The 24,496-nt window shown below is 39.7% G+C and overlaps 1 protein-coding gene and 1 pseudogene across 54 annotated transcripts in view; both read right to left on the reverse strand.

The window, feature by feature from the left end:
* Window positions 1–24,496, reverse strand: part of ZNF438 (zinc finger protein 438) — a 187,780-nt gene that overhangs the window by 74,220 nt on the left and 89,064 nt on the right. For 32 of the 54 annotated variants that reach the window (NR_026560.2, XM_024447871.2, XM_011519372.3 and 29 more), the window contains one exon: window positions 22,724–22,800. The exons of 7 other annotated variants lie outside the window; for them this stretch is intronic. The gene's annotated coding sequence lies outside the window, so the exon portion shown is untranslated. Of the gene's footprint in view, window positions 1–4,435; window positions 4,565–11,799; window positions 11,929–17,208; window positions 17,272–22,723; window positions 22,801–24,496 lie in introns of all 54 variants that reach the window. 15 more of the 54 variants (XM_047424729.1, XM_047424733.1, XM_047424734.1 and 12 more) reach the window with 4 other exon arrangements.
* DDX10P1 (DEAD-box helicase 10 pseudogene 1) lies at window positions 157–2,279 on the reverse strand (annotated as a pseudogene).

Genomic DNA, 24,496 nt, shown 5'->3' on the forward strand with positions numbered 1-24,496 from the left:
AGTTGCATCGATCTTTTAGGTATGGGACTTTTGCTACCTAACTACTCCAAAGCTTTTTTGACATCTGACCCACGCAGTCATGAGCACAGGTTTCAAGGAGAGGAGAAGAGCAGCAAGTATTTAGCTTTCATTTTGAGCAGATATAGTTTAAGCTCTTAGATAAAATTTAAGCTCTTTGTCTTCTGCTAGAGACAGAACTGTATCCAGAGACTCTGAGGATTCCTACTTGGCCTTCTTTCATTTGCAACTTGTTATAATAGTAGTTTCACATTGTCCACTTTACTGTGGCTCCTTTTCTTCCTTCTATGGGTTTTCCTGAACTACTAATTTTATTTTCCGTATCTTCACTATCTGATTCTTCAGACATCTGTATGTACGAGGATCTAAGAGTGAATTAATCGAATTTCCCATTATTACCACTGAGATCCTAAAAGACATTCCCTTCATCTTTGGCCTTGCTGGCCTCTCTTTTTGCTTCCCCTTTGAAGTATTTTCTCCATATGCTTTGTCTTAACTTTTTTCCTCTACTCTTCTTTGTCAAATTTTTCCACTTCCTGAAGCCTTTCTTTTGATTTTTCAAGGTTTATACCACTACAATCCTCTTCCTTAGCATCCTTTAAGATGCACTTCTGCATCGGTGGCCAGCGCTGAACCTACTTCCCTTCGTCAGTAAGAATTATGTTCTTATTCACTTAAAATTTCTCATTTCTTTTGCGTGTGATTTTGGTCACTTTTTTCTTGTCACTGGATTCAGACAATTTTTTATTTTATATTTATTTATTTATTTAGAGACAGAGTCTCGCTTTGTTGCTCAGGCTGGAGTGCAGTGGCAAGATCTTGGGTCACCACAACCTCTGCCTCCCAGGTTCAAGCGATTCTCCTGCCTCAGCCTCTGGAGTACCTAGTACTATAGACGCACGCCACCATGCCCGGCTAATTTTTGTATTGTTTTTAAAGGCGTGAGCCACCGCGCCCGGCTGACAAATTTTTATTTTACAATGAATTCTCTTCGAGATCCAACCAACCCAAGCATACAGTACTATTTCTCCTTAAAGAAATCAGCATCTGGGCCATCTTCAGCCTCCTCATCTGTGTTCATGAACTTTATAGAAATGTCCTTGGTTTTCTGTGCCTCATCAGTATTAGGGGCAGACTGAGTTTGAGGCTCCTCTGTTTTCAACACTTTCTTTTCCATTTTCCATCTCATCTGTCTCTTTCTTTCTCTTCCTCTCCTTCTTCATTACTAACATCATTGGCCCGCATGTACTCTCTCTCTCCTGCTTCTGGTCTCTTTCCATCTGACTGAAGGATGAACAACATATTGTTATTGAAATAGGCTCTAAATTCTTCCATGTAGTCATTGGTGAGAGATAAGAGCTGTATTCTCATTAACAACTCTTTGGTCAGTTGTTTCTATATTTTCTGCAGAGACCTTATCCAAAGTGTCACAGCAAGACAAAGAGACACAGCATATTCAGGTAGAGGTAACTTGTTCAAATACTTATCAGATACACTAACGTACATAGGAAATGAAATACCTTTGAGGTCTTCCTTTTAATGGTTGATCTTGGGCTAAAAAGGGCTCTGGTATTTTCTGGATGTCCCTAAGTTTTTCTGGATTAATTTTTCCTTCTTTCATAGGTATCCTCTTCTTGAGAGGTAGCTACACCATCCTTTTCTTCTCCTGAGAGAAGTAAAATTGATACAGCTTCGCCATCCTCATTTTACTTGGCAGTTTGATCTCCCTGGGAATATGAGTTGGTATCCTCTGGGCAATCGAACTAAAGAACCCAAATCATGACCTGGGTATCCTGCACCCTGGCTGCAGGATCAGTTATAAAGAGCACTGCAGCTCTCTTACAGACAAACTTATTACAGACTTCATTTTTCTCATCTGCTGCTGTCAACCATAGAGGTCAAGAATAGAAATAGCCGAGTGTAGCCAGTAGAAAACTTGGTTTAGATACTGCAACTCTTTACCACTGAAGAAAAACATAATACTCTTTCTCAGATGGCTTCTCAAAAAGGATTATATGACATATTTTACTACAGTTCACAATCAATGTAGTTTTGTTCAAAGTGGCAGGGGTGTTATATTTCACTTTTGTCACCAACCCAAATATATTCAGGGTTTTTCTAACTCAAGCATATAAGATCTTTTACAGATTTAATTTGTTTTACCTAGAAAGAGGCAAAGTTAATGTTTCTTGGGAAGATTTTTGGTAACAGCATTCACGGTATCAAGCAAACACCATGCCCAAGATTCTATTTACTTCATCAATGAACTAACCTTTGGAGATGGGTATCATGATAACTTATTGCTTTATCTTTGTGCTAAAGAAGTTGAACCTGTATGCAAACAAGTGTATTTATGTGGTTGATTAGCAGGTTCAAGTACATCTTTACCTTTCAACGTCAAGTAAAAAAGATCTGTCCTCCAGTGTTGCCTCAATAAAGTCTCAAATAAATCATTTTTATATTATTTTAAATTTAAAGCTATTTGCCTATTGACTTATAGTTGAAGGACTATTTGGACAGATATAAAAATCTGTAAGTTACCTATCCTTTTCTTAAAAGTCTTTTAAGTATGGCCTATTTTCTTGCACTGAATGAAATCTGAGGCCAACATAATTTTCTCCTTTATAAATATCTTGACCTATTTTTCTGGCTCCCTCCCAAAATTTTATCTCTGAGGTCCAGCAACTTTACCAGACCCAGGCACACAGTGTCCTTTCAATGTTTAGATTCAAGTTGTCACTTATTTCAGAAAAGTTTATGCTCTAAACACTGGTTTTCTTTCATTAAGTTTGGACTTTTTGTTGGGTCTATGATTATGCGTATGATGGATCTACTTGGCCTGTCATCTACACCCATGGTCTTAAAACTGAGGAACATCCGAGGCTGCTCTAATGCTTCTTAAGAGATATGTAGGCCTAGATAGTTTTAAGGCAATCTATTTCCAGGTCCTCAACTCTCATTCTTCCCAATACCGATCTTTCTGAGAGTGTACTGGCAGCTAAGGCATCATGCGGCCTCTCTTCTCACTTCACAAAAGAAATGCATACCTCCTGGGATGTAAAAACCTCCAGGGTTCCAAAAACGGGGAAAAATTATAACAATGCTATCTATGAAACCTCCTTTAATCAAAGCACTATAGTAAGGCCTTGTTCTTTCCATGTCTCATACAGATTTTATTAAGAAATGGAGTACTTGGCCCATATTATTATATGATAAATTGAGTGTATTGTAGAATGAAGCAGTTCCACAATACACAGTGAGGACATTTTACTTACAGGGATTACCTCTTCTATACTCTTATTAGTGTTAAAGACGTATCTCTCTGGAGATTTCAGTGAGCGCAAAGCAAAGAAACACTGAAGGCAGCAGTACCTTATTGTATCCAGGCAACACATGGTAAGGCTCTGTGCCTTATCTACTTAATCTATATTAGAATTAGAATTCAGCCATGTGATGGTTGTCATGGAGGCATATATTAACATATTTATTTGAGATGAAAAATCAAGTGGGACTTTTACTGACAGAAGGATGTCTGATTTAAAAGATAAGTTTGAAAATAAATACCAGCTTTGTCAATTAGATTAAATGGCAACCATTTTCCCTAAATTGAGTGATCTACATTTATAGCTTCAAGGTTTTGATAAAAATATATTTGAGGTATAAATTAAGAAAAACCATTGTCAGCCAGAAGCGGTGGCTCACGCCTGTAATCCCAGCACTTTGGGAGGCTGAGGCGGGCAGATCACCTGAGGTCAGGAGTTTGGGACCAGCCTGGACAACATGGTGAAACCCCTTCTCTAGTAAAAATACAAAAAATTAGCTGGGAATGGTGGAGGATGCCTATAATCCTAGCTACTTGGGAGTCTGAGGCAGGAGGATCACTTGAACCAGAGAGGTGGAAGTTGCAGTGTGCCAAGATTGTGCCACTGCACTCCAGCCTGGGCAACAAGAGAGAAACTTTGTCTCAAAAAAAAAAAAAGAAAAAGAAAAACCATTGTCTAAAAATTGTACATTGCCAAGTACACAATGGAATTAATAATATTTTAAACAACCCTTTCTAAGTATGTTAGGTTAAACAGGGTGCCCCTAAGTAAAAGAATAATAAGTGTAACACTCATTTGATAAGTCTTAGTTAAGCCTTTTTGATAAATTTCTCCAAACTGAGAAAGTGATAGCACATCCCCCTCCAAGTTAAGTGATTTCCAGTCCTTTGCTTTCTACAAATGATGGCATAATTGAATTGTCAGTAGAAACATTATTAAATAATCTGTAGATCACATTATGATTTCTGGCATGTAACTCAGCAGGATGAGCAAAGTTAATAGGTGATGCAGTGTTTCTGTCATATTGTAAACACTGACATTTTAAAGCTCAGGTGTTATGTCACTCTTTTAAATGTATATTTGACTTTGCTCACCTCTCTCATGTCTAATTTCCATGACCTCACTGTTTTTCCTGTATCATCTTTTTCTCTTGTACTCCTTCCAATGTTGTTTTCATTTGACAGTTTCATTTTCTTCTTCAATTTCTTTCCCGAGCTCTGCTTCTAAATGCATAATTTTAGATTTTATAATTAAACTATAATTACTAACATAACATTTTAACTTTTCCCATTTTGTGTATGATGAGGTAAGAATCCACTTTCCATCTTTTTCATATGGACACTCTATTGCCTCAGCACCATATACTGAAAGCTGTTACGCGCACCCTTTCCCCCAATGATCTTCAACACCTGTTGTGTCATGAATCATGCTTCCACATATAGGTGGATCTGTTTGTAAATTTTCTATTATTTTCATCTGCCAATTTGTATATCCTCATACCATATGCTGGCTTAACTACTATGGTTTTATATTGTCATTATATAAAGGCAGCAAAAGCACTTCCTTGATAGGAGGAAAAACACCTTCTTTAGGAATCTGTATGTGATTTTGGGATGATTGCTCTTCCATTTAAGTTCAGAATTACAATGTCAAGTATCATCCAAATAATAATATTAATAGTAATCATACAATCTCAAAATCTGTTAGGGATTTGATTCTATGTGTAATAAGAGAGAATTAACATCTTTGCAACATTAAATCTTCTAATCCATTAATGTCTTTCAATAAAAGTTTGTAACTTCTCAATAAAGGACTTAGACATAACTTGTTAAATTTCTACAAAAGTTATTTGTAGTATGTTGCTATGTAAATTATATCTTTTAAAAATTACATTTCTGTAGTAACTTTACTGTGGAAAAATCTTGCAGATACCATCTTAACCAACTGATCAAGGTTAACATGACCAGTAACAAGTCATATTGTTACTGAAACACCAGAGGTTTGGTCTAGGTCCTGATGTTGCACTGCACAGAAAGCCAATGACTGAGACGATGAATGTTGCCAAGGAAGAAGGCTTTAATCAGGTGCTGCAGCCGAGGAGATGGGAGCTCAGTCTAAAATCCATCTCCCTGACCGACTAAAACTAGGGGCTTACATACCAGGGAAGAAATGTAACGATGTGTGAGAAAATAGGAACTCTAGAGAGGCAAGGAGGCAATCATGATGAATGAGGGGTGCGGCATTTCCTTGTTTGGATGTGGTGATCTGGTGAGATTCAGTTCTTTGATACTTATTTTGAGAGGCCTGAAGGTCATTTCCTGAGAAAGGAACTCAGATAAAATAAAGTTTCCAGCTTTAAGACCAGAATGGTCAATTTCTGTTTATCCAAAAAACTATCTATGGGATAATTGGGTGGGTTTCAATATTGATAACATTTACTGCCTGACATGATGTGATATAATAATGAGAAAACACCAAACTCAAATTGATATCCTTTCTACAAAAGACTTGACCACTATTCTTCAAAAGTATCAAATCCCTGAAAGACAAGAAAAGATCAAGAAACTGCCTTAAATTGGTTAAGAGATATGGCTATTGAATGCAATGTGGTATCCTGGGTTAGATCCTGCAATGAAAAGAAAGTATCAGTAGAAAAACTGGAAAAATCAAAATAAAAGCTGTAGTTTAGTTAATATTAGTATATAAATGTTAATTTCTTAGTTTTGATAAATATACTACGGCTATGTAGGATGTTAATTATTTCAAAATAAAGTGGTTTTTAAATTTTCTGTTTTGTTGTTGCTGCTCGTCTATAGAAACGCAATTGGGTTCCCTATATTGACTTTACATTTAAAAACTTTGCTCAACTCTCTAATTTTAAGAATTTAGCTGTTGAGTCCTAGGAGCTTTCTATATAGACAATTAAGTCATTTGCCAATAATGACAGTGTTTTTCTCCTTTTCCATTCCTACATCTTTTCTTGTAGTTGTCCCCCACCCCTCACCCCCGACCCTGACTTACTCTGCTGGCTAGGATCTCTGACACAATATTGAACAGAAATGGTGATACTGGGCAGCTTTGTCTTTTAAGAGTTAGATTATATCTGTTGATGCCCAGAACTAATTTTAATTTCACTGAATAATCTGGGGAAGATTACTTGCTTTTGCTTTGAACATTTCTACTACAGAGATAACAATACTATTTTTTAAAGTTTCAAATACTGAAAATGTTTATCCAGAAAGTATAAAAGAATGTATAATACAAAGACAAAGAAATAACATGAAGACAAAAAAGAGATGCAATATAGTATTATGTTATTAAAACAAAATAAAAGTTATCGCATTAACCTGTCCAAAATTTGCTATCCCCTTCACAGTGTGGGAGCTGTCACTGGGAAGTGGTTGCCCAGTCAAAATTTTCCCTTTCCAAGCCTTTCCAACCTTGTATCACATGTGGCCTTGTGAGTAGTTCTCCCCAATAGAATGTCAGTGAGAATGACTGAATGCCAACTTCCAGGTTAAGGTTCCTCAGAAGCAGCAGGTAAGGTATGTTCATGCTCTTTCCCCAGCTGCTAGAGGACTCCAAGGCCCACATTATGGAAGGTCACCAAATGATCAAGAATGCCTTCAATGCACTGCTTCATTAGCAATAAATGCACTTTAACTGGATTTAAGCTGTTATACAATTTGGGTACATTTATCATAATAGCTGGCTTTCCCTAATACAAGAAAAATGGTATTTTTGAGGGGGATGCTGACATTAAAAAAACTAAAACATATGGTGACTGCTTAGCAGCCAAACAGCAGGAGATGAAGAAACTGAGAAAAGGATAGAAAGGTACTTATGTCACACAGTCATAAAACACTTACTAAAAATACTGCTTGCCAAAACTAATCTTTGGTGATTGAAGTGAAAAAGTGGTTGCCTCCAGAGGTTTAAAGTAGGCAATTAACTAGAAATGGACATCCATCTTGGGCAATGGAATGTCTGATATCATATTTTGGGTAGTAGTTACACGGATGTACATAATTGTCAAAACTCGCTGAACTCAACACAAGAGCTGTGAGTTTACTGTATGTAAGTTATAGCTCAATTTTTAAAAATGCCTGATACAACTTCAAAAGCAGAACAAGTGTCTACCAAGTCCATGTCTATGGAGAAAAGAGATGAACAATATTAGAATAACAAAGTACGGCTAGGCGCAGTCGCTCACATCTGTAATCCCAGCACTTTGGGAGGCCGAGGCGAGTGGATCACAAAGTCAGGAGTTCGAGACTAGCCTGGCCAATATGGTGAAACCCCATCTCTACTAAAAATACAAAAATTAGCCAGGCGTGGTGGCGGGTGCCTGTAGTTCCAGCTACTGGGGAGGCTGAGACAGGAGAATCACTTGAACCCGGAAGGCAGAGGTTGCAGTGAGCCAAGATTGTGCCACTGCACTCCAGCCTGAGCGACAGGGTGGAAAAAAAAAAAAAGGAACAACAAAGTACTACTTGTTGCACTTATCAAAGATTATAAATAAGAAATGTGCACAGGCAAGCACTGACAGATTTGAGGGCAGAAATGAATGGAAATAGAAAATTCAGAAATTTGGGGAGCTCCTAGGATTATAAGAGCTGACTGCTTCTGGAATTCACATGGTAAAAAAGAAGACTGAAAAAAACTGGCCCATTATATTTTCTCAGGCAAACAGAGGGACTCAGCCTTGTTGCAAATCAAGTTAAGTAGGTTAATTTTCCGATGGCCATACAAGAGTCTCCGGTAAGTTGAGAGAGAAGAGAATAAAAATAAGGAAACAAAGAAATATATTAGACTTGGGAATTTTTGGTGTGCTTATTGACTAGAGTGACCATAATACACGTTGTCTAAACTGGGGTAGTTTTGAGAGTAGAAGAGAGTATTATCACTTAACGTGCCAAGACAAGAGATTTCAGCCAAGGCTGCCTTGCCAGCCTGATCCACACAGTCACTCCAATGCTAGCACATGTTACTAACTACAAGATAGGTCAAAAGCCATCTCAGTTTTGGAGGAATGGCATTGCCAAAACCCCCACAAGTGATACCTATAAGCCTTTGACTGTTTGACCCTTAAAACAATGCTCAAGCTCCCTGAATTGCAAGAACAGAAAGAAGGAAACAAAGGCTATATAGTCTCCACAAAGGGCATGTTCCCCAATGTCCACATATATATGACCTTGGAGGAAAATGGGCAAGGAAGAACCTTCCAGAAGGCAGAATCAGGTCCTGAGAACAATAAACAAAGAAGTTCCTCCCAGACAGCAGGATCAGAAGCTAATGAAGGAACATTTCCCACCCTAGCTAAAGATTCTTCAATATGCTTCCTGCCATCCATGATTTTTGTCACTGTCAGTATTCCTAATCCTAGATGTTCCCTTAGTTTTAGCAGATTAAACACAAACTTATAATGTGCTAACTGGCCTAATGCAGTAAATTACAGACATTGCACGTAAAGTGATGGTGAAAATAAACCCGAAGGGTCTTTTACAAAGATCACTGAACTGATGGCCAGGAGGCTCTTATTTCATCCAACCTTCACTATTAATTGTGTGATCCTGGATAAATCATGACTTCTCAGGACTTCAGTTCTTTCATTTGCGAAATGAATAAGAGGATGCCTTCCAGTTCTTTAATTCTAACTTAAAATTCTTGACCTCACTGAGCCAAAAAAAAGTACAGAAATTCTCTACAAAATATCCATAATAGACTAGTTGGTCCAGTTTTTACAGCAAAAGCAATTCAGCATAATTCTAAGAAGTTACATTGGCAAGAAAAAATTCTGGCACTCTTATTTCTGATTTGTCTATTTTATTTGGGTCTCCGTACAATAAGGAATAAAATGTAACCTTTTTTTCAGTGGGAAAAGACACTTACTTTCTATTTCATTAAGTTTTAGAAGCTAATCCAAAGAGAGGCGACGGAACTCCACCCACTTCAAAATGTCAATACTTTTATAATATTTACACACTAGAATTTAGAACATCTGAAAAATCAAAATGCAATTTGGAATAGACTTTTAATCTAAAAGTACCATAATAACATTTATTAGTTACATAGTCAATAATAGTCATTGAATCCTAAAAATAATATTTTTTCTAGTAATTAAAATCTGAAAAATATGCCTGCTAAATTTCAACTTTTGATGTCTCCTCTAACTTTCAGAAGAAAATAACATTCAGGATTCTGTCTTCTTCACTGACGAAAGGGAAGACAAAAACTAATACTCTACATTGAAACTTTGTTATTTATCATGATCCAGTGGTACACTTATTTATAAATATAAATATAAGGGCCAAACATTCAAAGAGAATAGGACCCAAACTTTGTCACTTCAAATCACAACGTTTGGACAAAAAAAAAAAAAGCAAACATTCTGCAAACCCTGCTATCAATTTGAGTACTGATATTTAAAAGTCTTATTTGTTCTTATTCAAAGCACTTTTTTTTTGACATTTGTTTTGCCTGCTGCTCTAAGATCAGACCAGACATTCAGTTAACTCTACCCTCCACTGTCCCCGAGTCCTGGTCTAGATTCTCTGTAGTTCCAATTTTTTCAGAGAACAAACCCCTCATCTCGTGGAGTTGGGGAACATTGCTGTCCAGCTGGAGTGAGGTGAAGACCTGGGAGTTCAGCTGGTCCTTTCACAGACTTTCAGCTGAACATCTGTTTTTAGCACCATGCCTCCCTTCCTCCTTCAACCTCCTGATATCACTGTCGTCTCCTCTGCAGGTGCTTTGGTTTTGCCCTTCTGGTACTAAGTTACTGTATCATATGCTTTCTGTTTCAGATTTTATGGTTTAAGGTAACTGATGAGATCTACCTCTGACAAAAAGAGTTGGAATTTTTGTTTCTATTTCCTTTGTTTTATGCTAAGATTTTAATAGAAGAAAGCAGGTGGTGGCCAGGCACAGTGGCTTATGCCTGCAATCCCAGCACTTTGGGAGGCCAAGGTGGGCAGATCACAAGGTCGGCAAATCAAGACTGTGTCTGAAATTGGTGGGTTCTTGGTCTCACTGACTTCAAGATGAAGCCATGGACCCTCGCAGTGAGTGTTACAGTTCTTACAGGTCGTGTGTTCGGAGTTTGTTCCTTCTGATGTTCAGATGTGTTCGGACTTCCTTCTGGTGGGTTCGTGGTCTGGCTGGTTTCAGGAGTGAAGCTGCAGACCTTCGCAGTGAGTGTTACAGCTCTTAAGGCGGTGTGTCTGGAGTTGTTCATTCCTCCTGGTGGGTTCGTGGTCTCGCTGGCCTCAGAAGTGAAGCTGCAGATCTTCGCGGTGATTGTTACAGCTCATAAAGGCAGTGTGGACCCAAAGAGTGAGCAGCAGCAAGATTTATTGCAAAGAGTGAAAGAACAAAGCTTTCACAAACAAAGTACGGAAGGGGATGCAAGCAGGTTGCTGCTGCTGGCTGCGGTAGCCTGCTTTTATTCCCTTATCTGGCCTCACCCACATCCTGATGATTGGTCCATTTTACAGAGGGCTGACTGATCCATTTTGACAGGGTGCTGATTGGTGTGTTTACAATCCCTGAGCTAGACACAGAGTGCTGATTGGTGCATTTACAATCCTCCAGCTAGACATAAAAGTTCTCCAAGTCCCCACCAGATTAGCTAGACACAGATCACTGATTGGTGCATTTACAAACCTTTAGCTAGACACAGAGTGCTAATTGGTGCATTTACAAACCCCAAGCTAGACACAGAGTGCTGATTGGTGCATTTACAATCCTCCAGCTAGATATAAAAGTTCTCCAAGTCCCCAACTGACTCAGGAGCCCATCTGGCTTCACCTAGTGGATCCCTCGCCAGGGCCGCAGGTGGAGCTGCAGCCAGTCCCGCGCCCACACTCCTCAGCCCTTGGGCAGTTGATGGGAGCAGGTGCCGCAGAGCAGGGGGCGGTGCCCGTAGGGGAGGCTCAGGCCTGGCAGGAGCCCATTTGGTGGGGGCGGGGGTGGGGGGGGAGTGCGGGGCTCAGGCATGGTGGGTTGCAGGTCCCGAGCCCTGCCTGGCGGGAAGGTGGCTGAGACCCGGCAAGAATTCAAGCACGACGTGGGTGGGCTGGCAGTGTTGGGGGACCCGGTGCACCCTCCGCAGCTGTTGGCCCAGGTGCTAAGCCCCTCACTGCCCAGGGCCGACACTCCTGGGCTCACCTGGAACTCACACTGGCCTGCGAGTGCAGTGCGCAGCCCCGGTTCCCACCCGCGCATCTCCCTCCACATCTCCCCACAAGCAGAGGGAGCCGGCTCTGGCCTCAGCCAGCCCAGAGAGGGGCTCCCACAGTGCAGCAGTGGGCTGAAGGGCTCCTCAAGCGTGGCCAGAGTGGACGCCATGGCCTGAGGAGGTGCCGAGAGCAAGCGAGGGCTGCTGGCATGTTGTCACCTCTCAAGACCCTCCTGACCAACATGGTGAAACCCCATCTCTACTAAAATACACACACACACAAAAATTAGCCGGCCATGGTGGTGAGTGCCTGTAGTCCCAGTTACTCAGGAGGCTGAGGCAGGCGAAAAGCTTGAATCCAGGAGGCAGAGGTCGTAGTAAGCCGAGATCATGCCACTGCACTCCAGCCTGGCGACAGAGAGAAACTCAGTCAAAAAAAAAAAAAAAAAAAAAAAAAAAAAAAGCAAATGGTTCTTTCCTAAAACCAGAAACTGCCATCTGAATGATTTCACATACCATTTTTAATGGTTTGAAGTCAGGACAGTTTTGGTCTGCTAAGCACACATTCCCATTTTTCTTCTGGTTCCTTTGGAGAAAGCCTCTCCTACTCTGTGAGACCCTCACGGGGCTTGCAGTCACTGGGCTATGCCCCTCTACTGGAGCACTGGGAAAACATACCAAGGGTGGCCCACCAGTTTACCCCATTCCCAGGCCACAGTGACACATGAGGTCAAAGAGAGTCAATCCACATCTTCTCTGAGGCAGGTAGGTAGACATTTGGTGTGACAGGTTCTCTTTCTGTTGAGATTGCTAAATTGGATGGACAACCATCTTGAGCTGCTAGTGGTCATCTTACTGACCATGCCTGTCTGAAAAATGACAAATAATGAAACCAGCAGAGGAAAAGGAGTCCAAATGAGATCATTTGAGTTTTTGGCTGAAACCATGCCTGAAGCCAGATGCACCTCTGGAAACCATAGTTACAGAAACAATTAAGTTTCCTTTATTTTCATAAACTGGTTTGAGCTGGCTTTCTTTCATTTGCAACTGAAGCAGTCCTGATGAACACATCATTGAATCTAAATGTTCCAATTACTAATACTTGAACAACAGAAATAACACTTTTTTTTGCCCCAAATTAAATACCCTAACTTCTTTTATTCCAATAAAATCGCAAATCAGAAATAACGTTTGCATGTGTCCCTTTCACCATTTAGGTCAAATCCTTTGACTTTAGTTGAATATTCACGTCTTCAAGGTAGCAGTATCTTTGAGAATGAAGTGTATGTATACTCTATAGTACGAAAAACCCAATAGCCACTAACCTACTGAACAGTTTTCTTCCAGGTACGTCAAACATTCTTGCCAATTCTTTACACCTTCTCTATCAGAGCTCTCAGATTGTTAATAAAGATCAAGTTGTGTAATTATTTTATGTAAAGTCTATGTGGAAAAATGAAATAATATATCTCAAAATATTTGTTCCCTTGGGAGGAAACGTATAATTTAAATTCAAAGAATTATTCAGTCTCAATCTCTGACCCAGAGACTGGGGACCAGGATAATTTTAATCTAAAGATTTATAAGGAGAAGGTAGAGGGTAATAACGTGCTCCCAAGGAGACAAGTAGGAAGACTTAGAAGTCAGTGTTCCTTGGACACTCTCCCTGGAGTAACTTCCTTCATTATTACCTACAGGCCATTGTGCTCAGCAACCCAACAGGCAATATCTAAGCTTCTGGGTTTGAAGTTCTTTGGGTCTTCAGTTAGCTTCAAGTGCATATAGGGGCCAGGCAGGTAATCTAAAAGAGTGAGCAGGCTAACATTTTTAAAGTATTACAGTTGTATGCATTAAAAAAAAACTTATTAAAATTCTAGTCTCTCTCTTTTTATTTTTTCATGCAACAATTCTACCTACTATCCCTGGTTTTTCCATGGTTTCATAATGCTATCTTAAATAATAGTTTTTGGCACTGGTACTCCTTGTATACATTTAAATTACATATGAATAAGAGCTAATAATAACAATAGTTCAGTTTATTGAGCATATAGTATGTGCCAGGCAATGTACTAAGTGCTTTATATATGTTAACTTATTTTGTCCTTACTGCAATCCTATAATAACCTTACAGGATTGTGCCACTATCCCATTGCATAGATGAGAGCACTGAGGCAGTGGGTAATCAGCTTACCCAAGATCACATAGCAAATAAGTTGTGAAGTTGAATGCAGCACTCTGCCTCAAGGAACCCTGCCCTTAACCATTACTCTGCACTCTACAAAGAAATATGCCATCAGTTATGGGTTGAATTATGACCCCAAAATGATATGTTGAAGTCCTAACCCCCAGTACCTGTGAATATGACCTTATTTGGAAATAGGGTCTCTGCAGATATAATCAGGTTAAAATGAGTTCATACCAGGTTAGGGTGTGCCCTAATCCAATGTACTGGTATCCTCACAAGAGGAGGAAAATTTGGATGTAGACAGACACAGAGGGAAGACACTCATAAGATGGAATCAGATTGGCATCATGCTACCACAAGGCAAGGAATGCCTGGGGCTACCAGAAGCCAGAAGAGGCAAGGCAGAATCCTCCCCATGAGCCTCTGAGGGAACATGGTCCTGCCAGCACCTTGACTTTAGATTTCTAGCCTTTAGAACTATAAGAGAATAAATTTCTGTTATTTAAAGCCACCCAGTTTGTAGTACTTGCTTATGTAGTCCTAGAAAATTAATACCATCTCTCACTTATATTGAAATATGTCATCCAATCAATTTGCTATTTCCAATTTTAACACAGATGGTGGTATAAGTAACATTTAAACCTTCCTCTAAATTCTGTTCAAAGAAAAACAACAGCCAGGGGTGTTATAGGTTACAACCTATAATGTAAAAGCACAGCCTCCCATCTAATAGAGGCAGCTTCTACTTAGCTCTAGCTGGTTACTGCCACATGCAAGAGCAGGACCAAAGTTGCCAGTTTCCAAGAGAATGTGGAAATATGGATTTGTGCATTAAATTATTTAACAACAAATTATATCAGTTACTAGTCAAAATAATACTTGTTAACAAGCAATTTATGCTTTAAAAACAAAAGAGCCAGGCATCATGACTTGCACCTGTAATTCCAGTAACTCAGGAGGCTGAGGTGGGAGGGTCGCTTGAGCCTAGCAGTTCAAGGCTACTGTGAGTTATGATAAGGCCACTGTACTTCATCTTGGGTGACAGAGTGAGACCCTGTCTGTAAAATTAATAATAATTAAAATAAAAAACATTACGCAGGCTATGCAGGCTACAGAAAACACATTTATAAACCAAACTTGTCAAGAGGTCCAGATTTTTGCAATCTCTGTTGTATGTTTTCTTTGTTTTCCATGTCTACTGCCCCTTACACTTCACTTGACCTGGCCCCAATTGCAGCTACCCATCTACCAGATATAGAAAGCAGGCACAGTGGGGGCACTGGGAGCCACACTGAAATCAGCGCTTGAGGACAGGCGCGGTGGCTCACGCCTGTAATCCCAACACTTTGGGAGACCGAGGTGGGTGAATCACGAGGTCAGGAGATCGAGACCATCCTGGCTAACATGGTGAAACCCCGTCTCTACTAAAAATACAAAAAATTAGCCGGGTGTGGTGGCGGGTGCCTGTAGTCCCAGCTACTCGGGAGGCTGAGGCAAGAGAATGGTGTGAACCCGGGAGGCGGAGATTGCAGTGAGCCGAGATCGCGCCACTATACTCCAGCCTGGGCGACAGAGTGAGACTCCATCTCAAAAAAAGAAAAAGAAAAAAAAAAAAAGAAATCAGCACTTGAGGACTGGGGAACCCTCTTTGGGATGTACCGAGTTGGCAGATGCAGAAGAGTTGCACGCACTCAGGAATCCAAGCCCAAATGGGTGCACTCTCCTTGATCCGTATCTGTGTATCTGAAGCATAATACTGCTCCTCTACTCGTTATTTGGTGTCCCATGTAGAAAAGACTTAGAGCTTTAACTGGGTAAAGGTTTTGTGTAAGGCTAGGAAAATGACTTTAACATTTCTCAGGCTCACTGTCACTTCATTCACAGCACTATCCTTACAATTTATTGAGTTCCCCAAACTTCTTACCTCTTGTATACATATATTTGAAGCATTTGTAAGTTGATATTAATAGCTCATAACTGTCTTGCAGTACTCACCATATTGTAACCTATAAAACTTGTTCAGAAACTTGTAAACATTTTTGAAAAGCAGTTTTGTAAAAACAGTTTCACGAAATGTCTTTATTCCTCAGGTGTGTTCTAAAACTTCAAAAATGTAAGAAAAATTGTTCTGAGAATGTTAATATCAACTCTAATCCAATAAGCCATATCTCTAGTTAGTAGTCTCATTGGCTACAAACATTTCTTCAGTATCTATCAGAGTTCAGACCTATTTGCTATGGTATAGAAACTAATGATTGCTTCTGGCAAGTGAAAACAGGTACTTGATATGTTGCCAGGACATTATCTACTACACTGAGGTATTAAATGCACAGTGAGACAGCTTGGAATACCACAGTGTTTGGAACTTACAAATCTGACCAACATTACTTTTAGTAAGTTTGTAGAGCAATGCTAGGAAGTAAAATACCATAAAATATGTCCAAATCATCTCATTTAATCTTTATTGTTGTTATTGTTGTATTTTGCTTGAATTAAACATCTCTGAAAGTTCTATTGGTTTTCATACCTATGAAATCATTTGGAAACTCCCTAGCTTATTATTCTCACCACAACACCAAATGGTTGGTAAAGCAGGTTTTATCTCCATATTACAGATGAGGAAACTCAAGCTCAGTGGTGTTAAATAACTTGTTCAAGGTTGTTAGTGACAGAGGTTGTCTCAGTCCATTTAGTGTTGCTATAAATATGTCAGGCTGGGTGATTTATAAAGAAAAACAGCCTTCTTTGGCTCATGGTTCTGCAGGCTGTACAGAAGGCATATAGTTCCAGCATCTGTTTGGCTTCTGGTGAGGGCCTCAGGCTGTTTCCACTAATGGCTGGAGGCAAAAGGGAGAGCTGCATGTGCAGAGATCACATAGCAAGAGAGGAAGCAAGAGGGGAGGAGGTGCCACGCTCTTTTTAACAGCTCTTGGTGGAAACGAACAGAGCAAGGAGGGTGCCAAGACATTCATGAGGGATCTGCGCCCATGACTCAAACACCTCCCATTAGGTCTCACCTCAAACATGGGGATCAAATTTTAACATGAGATTTGGAGAGTGTATTAGTCTGTTCTCACATTGCTATAAAGAAATACCAGAGACTGGTTAATTTATAAAGAAAAAAGGTTGAATTGATTCACAGTTCCATGTAGCTGGAGAGGCCTCAGGAAACTTACAATCATGGCAAAAGGAAGCAGGCACGTCTTACATGGTGGCAGGCAAGAGAAAGCATGAGGAGTGAGGAGGGGAGAGCCCCTTATAAAACCATCAGATCTTGTGAGAACTCACTCACTATCATGAGAACAGCATGGGGGAACTGCCCCATGATCCAATCACCTCCCACCAGGTCTCTCCTTAGACATGTGGAAATTACGAGTATTACAATTCAAGATGAGATTTGGGTGGGGACACAGCCAAACCATATCAGAGGGGACAAACATCCAAACTATAGAAGAGGTGAAGCCGGTACTCAAACCTCCTAATTCTGAGTTCACTGATCTTACCTCACAAATAAAAGCCATGAAGATTTCTAAGACCAGGATGATGAGACAGTCAGACAGCCAGACCTGTAATCAAATCCAGTTTCTATTGCCAACTCGACTTATGACTTCGGTTTTTTTAAACCTCTAAAGCCCGATTTGCTCATTTGCAAAATGGAGTTAAAGTGGAAAAATACATGTAAAGAACATGGCACAAAGTGGGCACTTGATAAATGTTACCCCCTTTCTCTTCCCTCTCTACTACAGAATCCCTCAAATCTAAACAAACCATCCACTTTCTGGTTAAGCATTTGGGTGATTAGCAGAAATCTAAATAGCTATTAGAAATGTAACTCAGCCAGGCATGGTGGCTAATGCCTGTAATCCCAGCACTTTGGGAGGCCAAGGCAGGCAGATCACCTGAGGTCAGGAGTTCAAGACCAGCCTGGCCAAGATGGTGAAACCCCGTCTCTACTAAAAATACAAAAATTAGCCAGGCATGGTGGCAGGTGCCTGTAATCCCAGCTACTCAAGAGGCTGAGGCAGGAGAATCGCTTGAACCTGGGAGGCGGAGGTTACAATGAGCTGAGATTGCGCCATCGCACTCCAGCCTAGGGGAGGAGCAAGACATCGTCTCAAAAAAAAATGTAATTCATAGGATGTGGAGATATTAATAAAACAACAATAAACGTATTGTCATGGACGAAGACCATGGTAGAAACTGTTGTCACATGTGTACTATTAAAGAATTGCCAAAAAAGTCACTGTTTTTAAATATTTTATGATGTTGAGCTTTTTTTTAAAAGGAGGCAGGTCACGTCAAACCTTTATGCTTTGAACTTATTCTCTGCTCTCTAATTAATGTGGTTCATTGCCTCCAAACATAAAAAAATTTTAAACACATCAAAGAGATATGAAATGTTTCTCACCTGTGGTGAGACTTGGGACTCCTCAGTGTGTGTACCTTAGCAGCTATCGTGTTCCTCTTGGACCAGAAGCAAAAGAACCACCAAGATCCTTTGTGTGTCTGTGCCACAAAAGAAATTCTGACTCCTTTACAACTCCTCTCTGCTGGCCCAGTTATCCCTTTGGATGAGCCTAGGGCAGGGGTGCTAATGGATTGACACCAGCAGGGGATGGGCCCAAATGGAGGGTGAGGGGCTGCATTCCTTGCCAAAGAGAAGCATAAATTCAGAGTAAGAACAGGTGCTGTAGTCAGGAGGCATGCTTGGGTCTAACATCAGAAAATTATGTAATTATCAAATTTAATGCTAAAAATATTAAAATGCATAACATGATTTAGAACATTTCTTCAAATTTCAACTTAATGCTAGGGAACTGTGTGCTAATAACTACTTTATACATGTGATTCTGGCTCTTGGCACAATCATACAGGACTGGGGTTGTGTTATTGCATATGTGGGAGGTTATTAAATGCTTTATAATGATTATGTTAAAGGTCATATTCCTCATACACATAACTTCACTTACTATTATGAGTTAGACGGGTACATGAGTAGACAATGGTCTCCTTCCATTAAATGCAAACTGGCTGAAATTACTATTTAAGTTGCCAGGCTGAATGAGTAAAGAGATCAAATTAATGAGGGTGAAACTGTATAATCAGTTTATAAAACAGATCATGCTGAGGTCAAGGCTGACATCACCAGCTCCCACACATCTAACTACACTTAAAAAGGTGGCTCTTCTCTTTATTACCACGACCACTGCTCTAATTCAAGCTGTTTCTTATTTCTCTTCCATTCACATGTAGCTGACAAATCATTTATCTTGGCAAACACCAATTTGATCATGTCACCTGTCTCAGAAACCTCTATAGTCTTCCCAGTGCTTGAGGGACAGAGGCTCAACTCCTCAGGAGGGCATTCATGGTTCTCCTAAATTTGGCCCATTCTTCTAATTCAAGGATTTTCAACCCTGGATGATATCAGAACCACGAGGGGAGCTTTAAAAAACAAACAGGTTTATGTTCCATGCCCCTGAAACTCTATTTACTAGTTCTGGGCTAAGATCTAGGGACTTAATATCTTTAAAAATATCTATGGATGACTCTTATCTACTGCCAGGGTTGAACCAGCGGTCTAATTCCCTGCCCCGCACCCCCATTGTTTCAGCCAACATGAATTAACCACTCTGCTCCGCTCAGTAATGCTTTGTTTGCTTGTGTTGCCAGTTCTCTATTCATGCGGTTAATCCAACCTGGAATATCATTTCCTCTATAGCTCTTTTTTTTTTTTTTAGATGGAGTTTCTCTCTTGTTGCCCAGGCTGGAGTGCAATGGCACAATCAGCTCACTGCAACCTCTGCCTCCCGGATTCAAGCGATTCTCCTGTCTCAGCCTCCCAAGTAGCTGGGATTACAGGTGCACGCCACCATGCCTGGCTAATTTGTGTATTTTTAGTAGAGATGGGGTTTCATCATATTGGTCAGGCTGGTCTCAAACTCCTGACCTCAGGTGATCTGCCCGCCTTGGCCTCCCAAAGTGCTGGGATTACAGGCGTGAGCCACCATGCCTGGCCTAGCTCTAGCACTATTCTTCTAAAGCTAAGTGAAATCCCACCAGTATCCTTACAACCATGGGGATATGATATTCCATTCTGATAATCCAAAAGGCATTTTTTATGTTTATGAAGCATTTTATGGCAATTAATCATATATTGTTTTCAATGTGAATGTTTAATATTTTGCTCCCTATATTTCAGACTTCCCAGGGAAGCAAACTTTATTTATTTATTTATTTATTTATTTATTTATTTTGAGATGGAGTCTCACTCTGTTGCCAGGCTGGAGTGCAGTGGCACGATCTTGGCTCAGTGCAACCTCTGCCTCCCAGGTTCAAGTGATTCTCATGCCTCAGCCTCCTGAGTAGCTGGGACTACAGGCATGCACCACCACACCCGGCTAATTTTTTGTATTTTTAGTAGAGACGGGGTTTCACCGTGTTAGCCAGGATGGTCTCAATCTCCTGATCTTGTGATCTACCCACCTCGGCCTCCCAAAGTGCTGGGATTAGAGGCATGAGCCACTGCTCCTGGCCTGAAGGCAAACTATAACATCTTTTGTTCCCACTTCCTAGCCCTTAGCATTGACCACAGTATTAAGCATAAAGTAGACACTCATGTGCTCAATACTTATGACTGAATAAATTAAATTCTCTGAAATTTATGAAGTGTTTTTTCTTACAGCATGACAACCTCAATCGTCAACCTTGAGGGTTGTTTATGTGCATACTGACGTGTTTCTCACTAGAAGCATCATTATGCCTATGTAAATGATAATCCCTTGTCCACAAAAACTGATGTGATGTCAAATACAGGGGTGATACCTGTAAATGTGTTTTTCTCCCTATAGATAGAAGTATTTTCCATGTTTATATATTCAATTCCCATAAGTTTGTATAGCATCCAAAAGGAGGAATTAGTGAAACAGTCCCTGATCTTTCAATACCTGACTTAAAAACAACCCACCCATGTGAAAGGATAGAGAAAACCCCATTTACCATCCTAATCAACTGTGGGAAAGATCAGAAGAGCAAGTGTCCCTTTGCCCTCAATTTAGGTGACATGAGAGTATCAGCAACCTACAGGTAAAAGTCTCTCCTGTAACTACTGAAAACCAAGAAGCTTCTGATGGGAGAGTATCCAATGCTGTCAGAGGTCCAGCTCAGACTCTCCTACTGTTCAACCTGCCCAGAAACTTTCTGTCCTATTTCTAGAGCATGGGAGATATATCTCCATATCCAGAGCTACAATCTCTCCACAAAACAGCATTGTACACCATGGCTGCCCATAGTGAAAGTGGTGCTGGTACCAGTGAGTTAAATAGTCTTGGGAGGGCTGGCTGAGAACCTAACCACTATTTATAACATTGTTTTTGTGGAAAAATATATTCTGCATTCCAAACAACAGAACTAGACATGAACTTTTGGAATACAGTGCATTTCTTGGGTCAGGAACTGACTGTATCTTGTTAACTGCACTAAGGTCAGTATTTTCCTAGGAGAAGATGGCAACCAGGAGTGCAGAACAAAAATGGTTGCCAAGAATATGGAACATATGCATTTATAAGGATGAAAGACAAAGGAAATGATGAGAGAAAAAGCCAGCACACTCTTAATTTATTACATAAATATTTACTAAGCACTATTAAAGGCTATGGTGAAAGCTGTAGGAAACAAAAATCAGACAAGATCTTGGATTTTATAGTCCTTACAATCTAGGGTGGGAGATAAGACAAACATAAACACAAACAATAAAGCTACACGGTAAAATATGCCACAACGGTGATACAAACAAAACATTAGATGACACTGGCAGAGAGAGAAAGAGCTAGTGCTTCTAGCTGGAGTAATCAGAGAACGTGTCATAGAGAGGCTTGCACAGGGTTTCAACGTGCAGAGGAAATAGTGTCAGGGCAGCAGGGGACATCACAGGCAGGAAAACCAGTACAAGTTAAGACAGATGCATGAAGAACAATGAGAGTTCAGAGAATAGGAAAAGCCCAGTTGGCTCAAGTGGGGTACATTTTCAGGATCTTCGTGGGAGGCTTTGAATGCTAGGCAAACGAACATGGATTCCATCCAAGAGGGAGTTGGAAGCCATTAAAGCGTTTTAAAATTACTAAAAGTGGTTCTATATGCAGGTTTATCTAACAATGAACACAGGACAGGGGAAGAGAGAATGAATACAGAAAGATTATTAGGAGATCACTATAAGAGTTGAGGGTGATTAAGATGACCTTTCAAAGATTTTTTACACAAACAGTTAATAAACATTTAAGGTTCAAGTGCTAGTTAATTAACAAAATATTTCTTTAAATAAGAACATATAAATAACTTAGAAAAGTTGTATAAAGCCTTAAAAAACTATATATATATATTAGCTACAACGCAAAAGCATTGTTTGGCACTTAGGACTTAACGACTAGACTTGATACAAATACAAGGATGATTTTAAGGTGTTAGTCTCACTTAGACAAATAACACCAAGAGTTTAAAACTGAACATTTTATTTTATTTTATTTTATTTTATTTTGACATGGAGTCTCGTTCTGTTGCCCAGGCTGGACTGCAGTAGCGTGATCTCAGCTCATTGCAACCTCGGCCTCCAGGGTTGAAGCAACTCTCCTGTCTCAGCCTCCCAAGTAGCTGGGACTACAGGCGCCTGCCACCATGCCCAACTAATTTTTGTAGTTTTAGTAGAGAAGAGGTTTCACCTTGTTGGTCAGGCTGGTCTCGAAATCCTGATCTCAGGTGATCCACCCATCTCGGCCTCCCAAAGTGCTGGCATTACAGGCATGAGCCACCATGCCTGGCCAGAACATTTTATTTTTATAAGCATGTGAAATTTAATAAGAAATCATCTTTCCACTATTTCCCAAGACCAGTGATTCAATATACAAGGTGACTAGAAGATATGCTGAGAAATTTGAGAGTTGAGATGTCCAAGTTAGTAAACTTAATTCTTTGCATTTTAAATAAATCTTAAGCTGGTACCAAGCTAGATGTGAGCAGACTTACCTGAAGTGATTTGACTTAGCAAATGTCTTCTAACTTTAACACTTCAGTACTGGATGGGAAATGGCATTCATTTTTATCTGAAAACAAATGTAGTGGAAATAACAAAATTATAAAGAATTTCTAGGTACCTTATAGGAGCCAATTAGATGACTGCACCTGAAAGACCATAAAAGAGTTCTACGAAGTTCTGTAAAATTTACAGTTCTTATACCACGTATAATTTAAGAACCTAAAATAAAAATCTCAAGCTGTGCTCAAAGACTTCTAAAATAGGAGATATATTGTCTTCACATATTTTTATGTCAACCTGCTAAAAATTCTAGAAAATATATTATTAGATATTTAAGCCTGATTTAAACTGAATTATTTAAAATTTAGCTGGCATTTGTGCCCTACTCAGTATCATGGGGAACAGGGAGCTATGAAATTGAATAAGAGACAGTTTTTGTTCTTAAGAAATACAAACCACAATAACAGGCAAACATGAAAAACTCTGTATCGAGGCGATGTAGTAAGTGCTACAAGTGACACAAGGCGCTACGGGATTTTGGAGCACGATAATTACTACAGGGAAAATGTGGGAAGGCTCTGCCTTATGGACTGAATACAAAGAGAAAGAGAGAAATGGGGAGGGAGATCGATAAGGACTAGGATTTGGGGCTGAGATTATACTGTAAGAGGTTGAATGCTAGATTCAGTACATGGGGCTTTATTTTATACATAAAGAGGCACCAAGGGTGTTTGGCAGAAAACACATTCAAATTTGTATTTTAAAAGATGGCTCTGGTTTTCAAGTGTAAGTTACCATGAGAAAATTCAAAAAGCAGTGAGATCTATTTTGTTACTACGGTAGTCAAGATGAGAAGAAATCAGAGTAACTGCAATAAAAGTAAAAAGTTTAAAATTCTCTGAAATATACTTGAAAGTGAGAAGCAGAATAACAGCCTAAACAATTATGCAAGACTGAGACGTGAAACCATCACCAACATTCAGTGATATGGTTACAAACATAGGATTCTTAGACCACAATAGACCTTTCTTTCCAATCAGAATCATGCATTGTTTACATGAACCATGAACTTAAGAAATCAATCAATCCGATGACTTGCGTCATTTCTGATATCCTGTCCTAGAATTTCGTATCTCCAACCTATAATAAAAATCTTATACAAATTTTCTCTAAGGAGGCATCATTTCAGAATCATCTGTGTAGTCTTGTTTGCTGCACTAAGTCAATAGAACAGTTTGCACATCTCCTAAAAGGTTTATTTTAGAAGAGGCCTTCCACAAAATACTGAAGTCACGAAAGAAGAGCAAAAGAAGAGAGCGCCCTGTCCTGCCTTTTCAAGGCAGAAGAACTGAGAACTTACCAATCACTAGTGACCTTTGGAATACGTTTCAGAAAGGCAATAAAAGTAAACAAAGACTTCCAATTTAAGGAGAAAAAGTGGAATTAACCAATAAATTTTAGTCTTCTAAGAAGTCTGGTATACTTTGAAAGTGAAGCTGAATCTTTAACAAGGTTTTTGTCATTGGTGCTGTTTTTTTTTCATTTTTAATGCTAGTAACAGGAAGAAATACAAGGGAGAGTGCTAAATAATGGAACAAATTCAAGAGAAGATGGGAACAAGAACTTTAGTGCAGTTAGTCATGTTAAAGAGAAGAAACAGTTGTTTCTCTATGGTTAGAAATAGAGGAAAGGATGGGTGATGAATACAAACATTTGTGTGTAAGGGAGTAAAGTTGAGGGAATTCAGACCCAATGGCAAGACC

The sequence above is a fragment of the Homo sapiens genome, chromosome 10 (assembly GCF_000001405.40).
Source record: "Homo sapiens chromosome 10, GRCh38.p14 Primary Assembly".
NCBI lineage: Eukaryota > Metazoa > Chordata > Mammalia > Primates > Hominidae > Homo > Homo sapiens.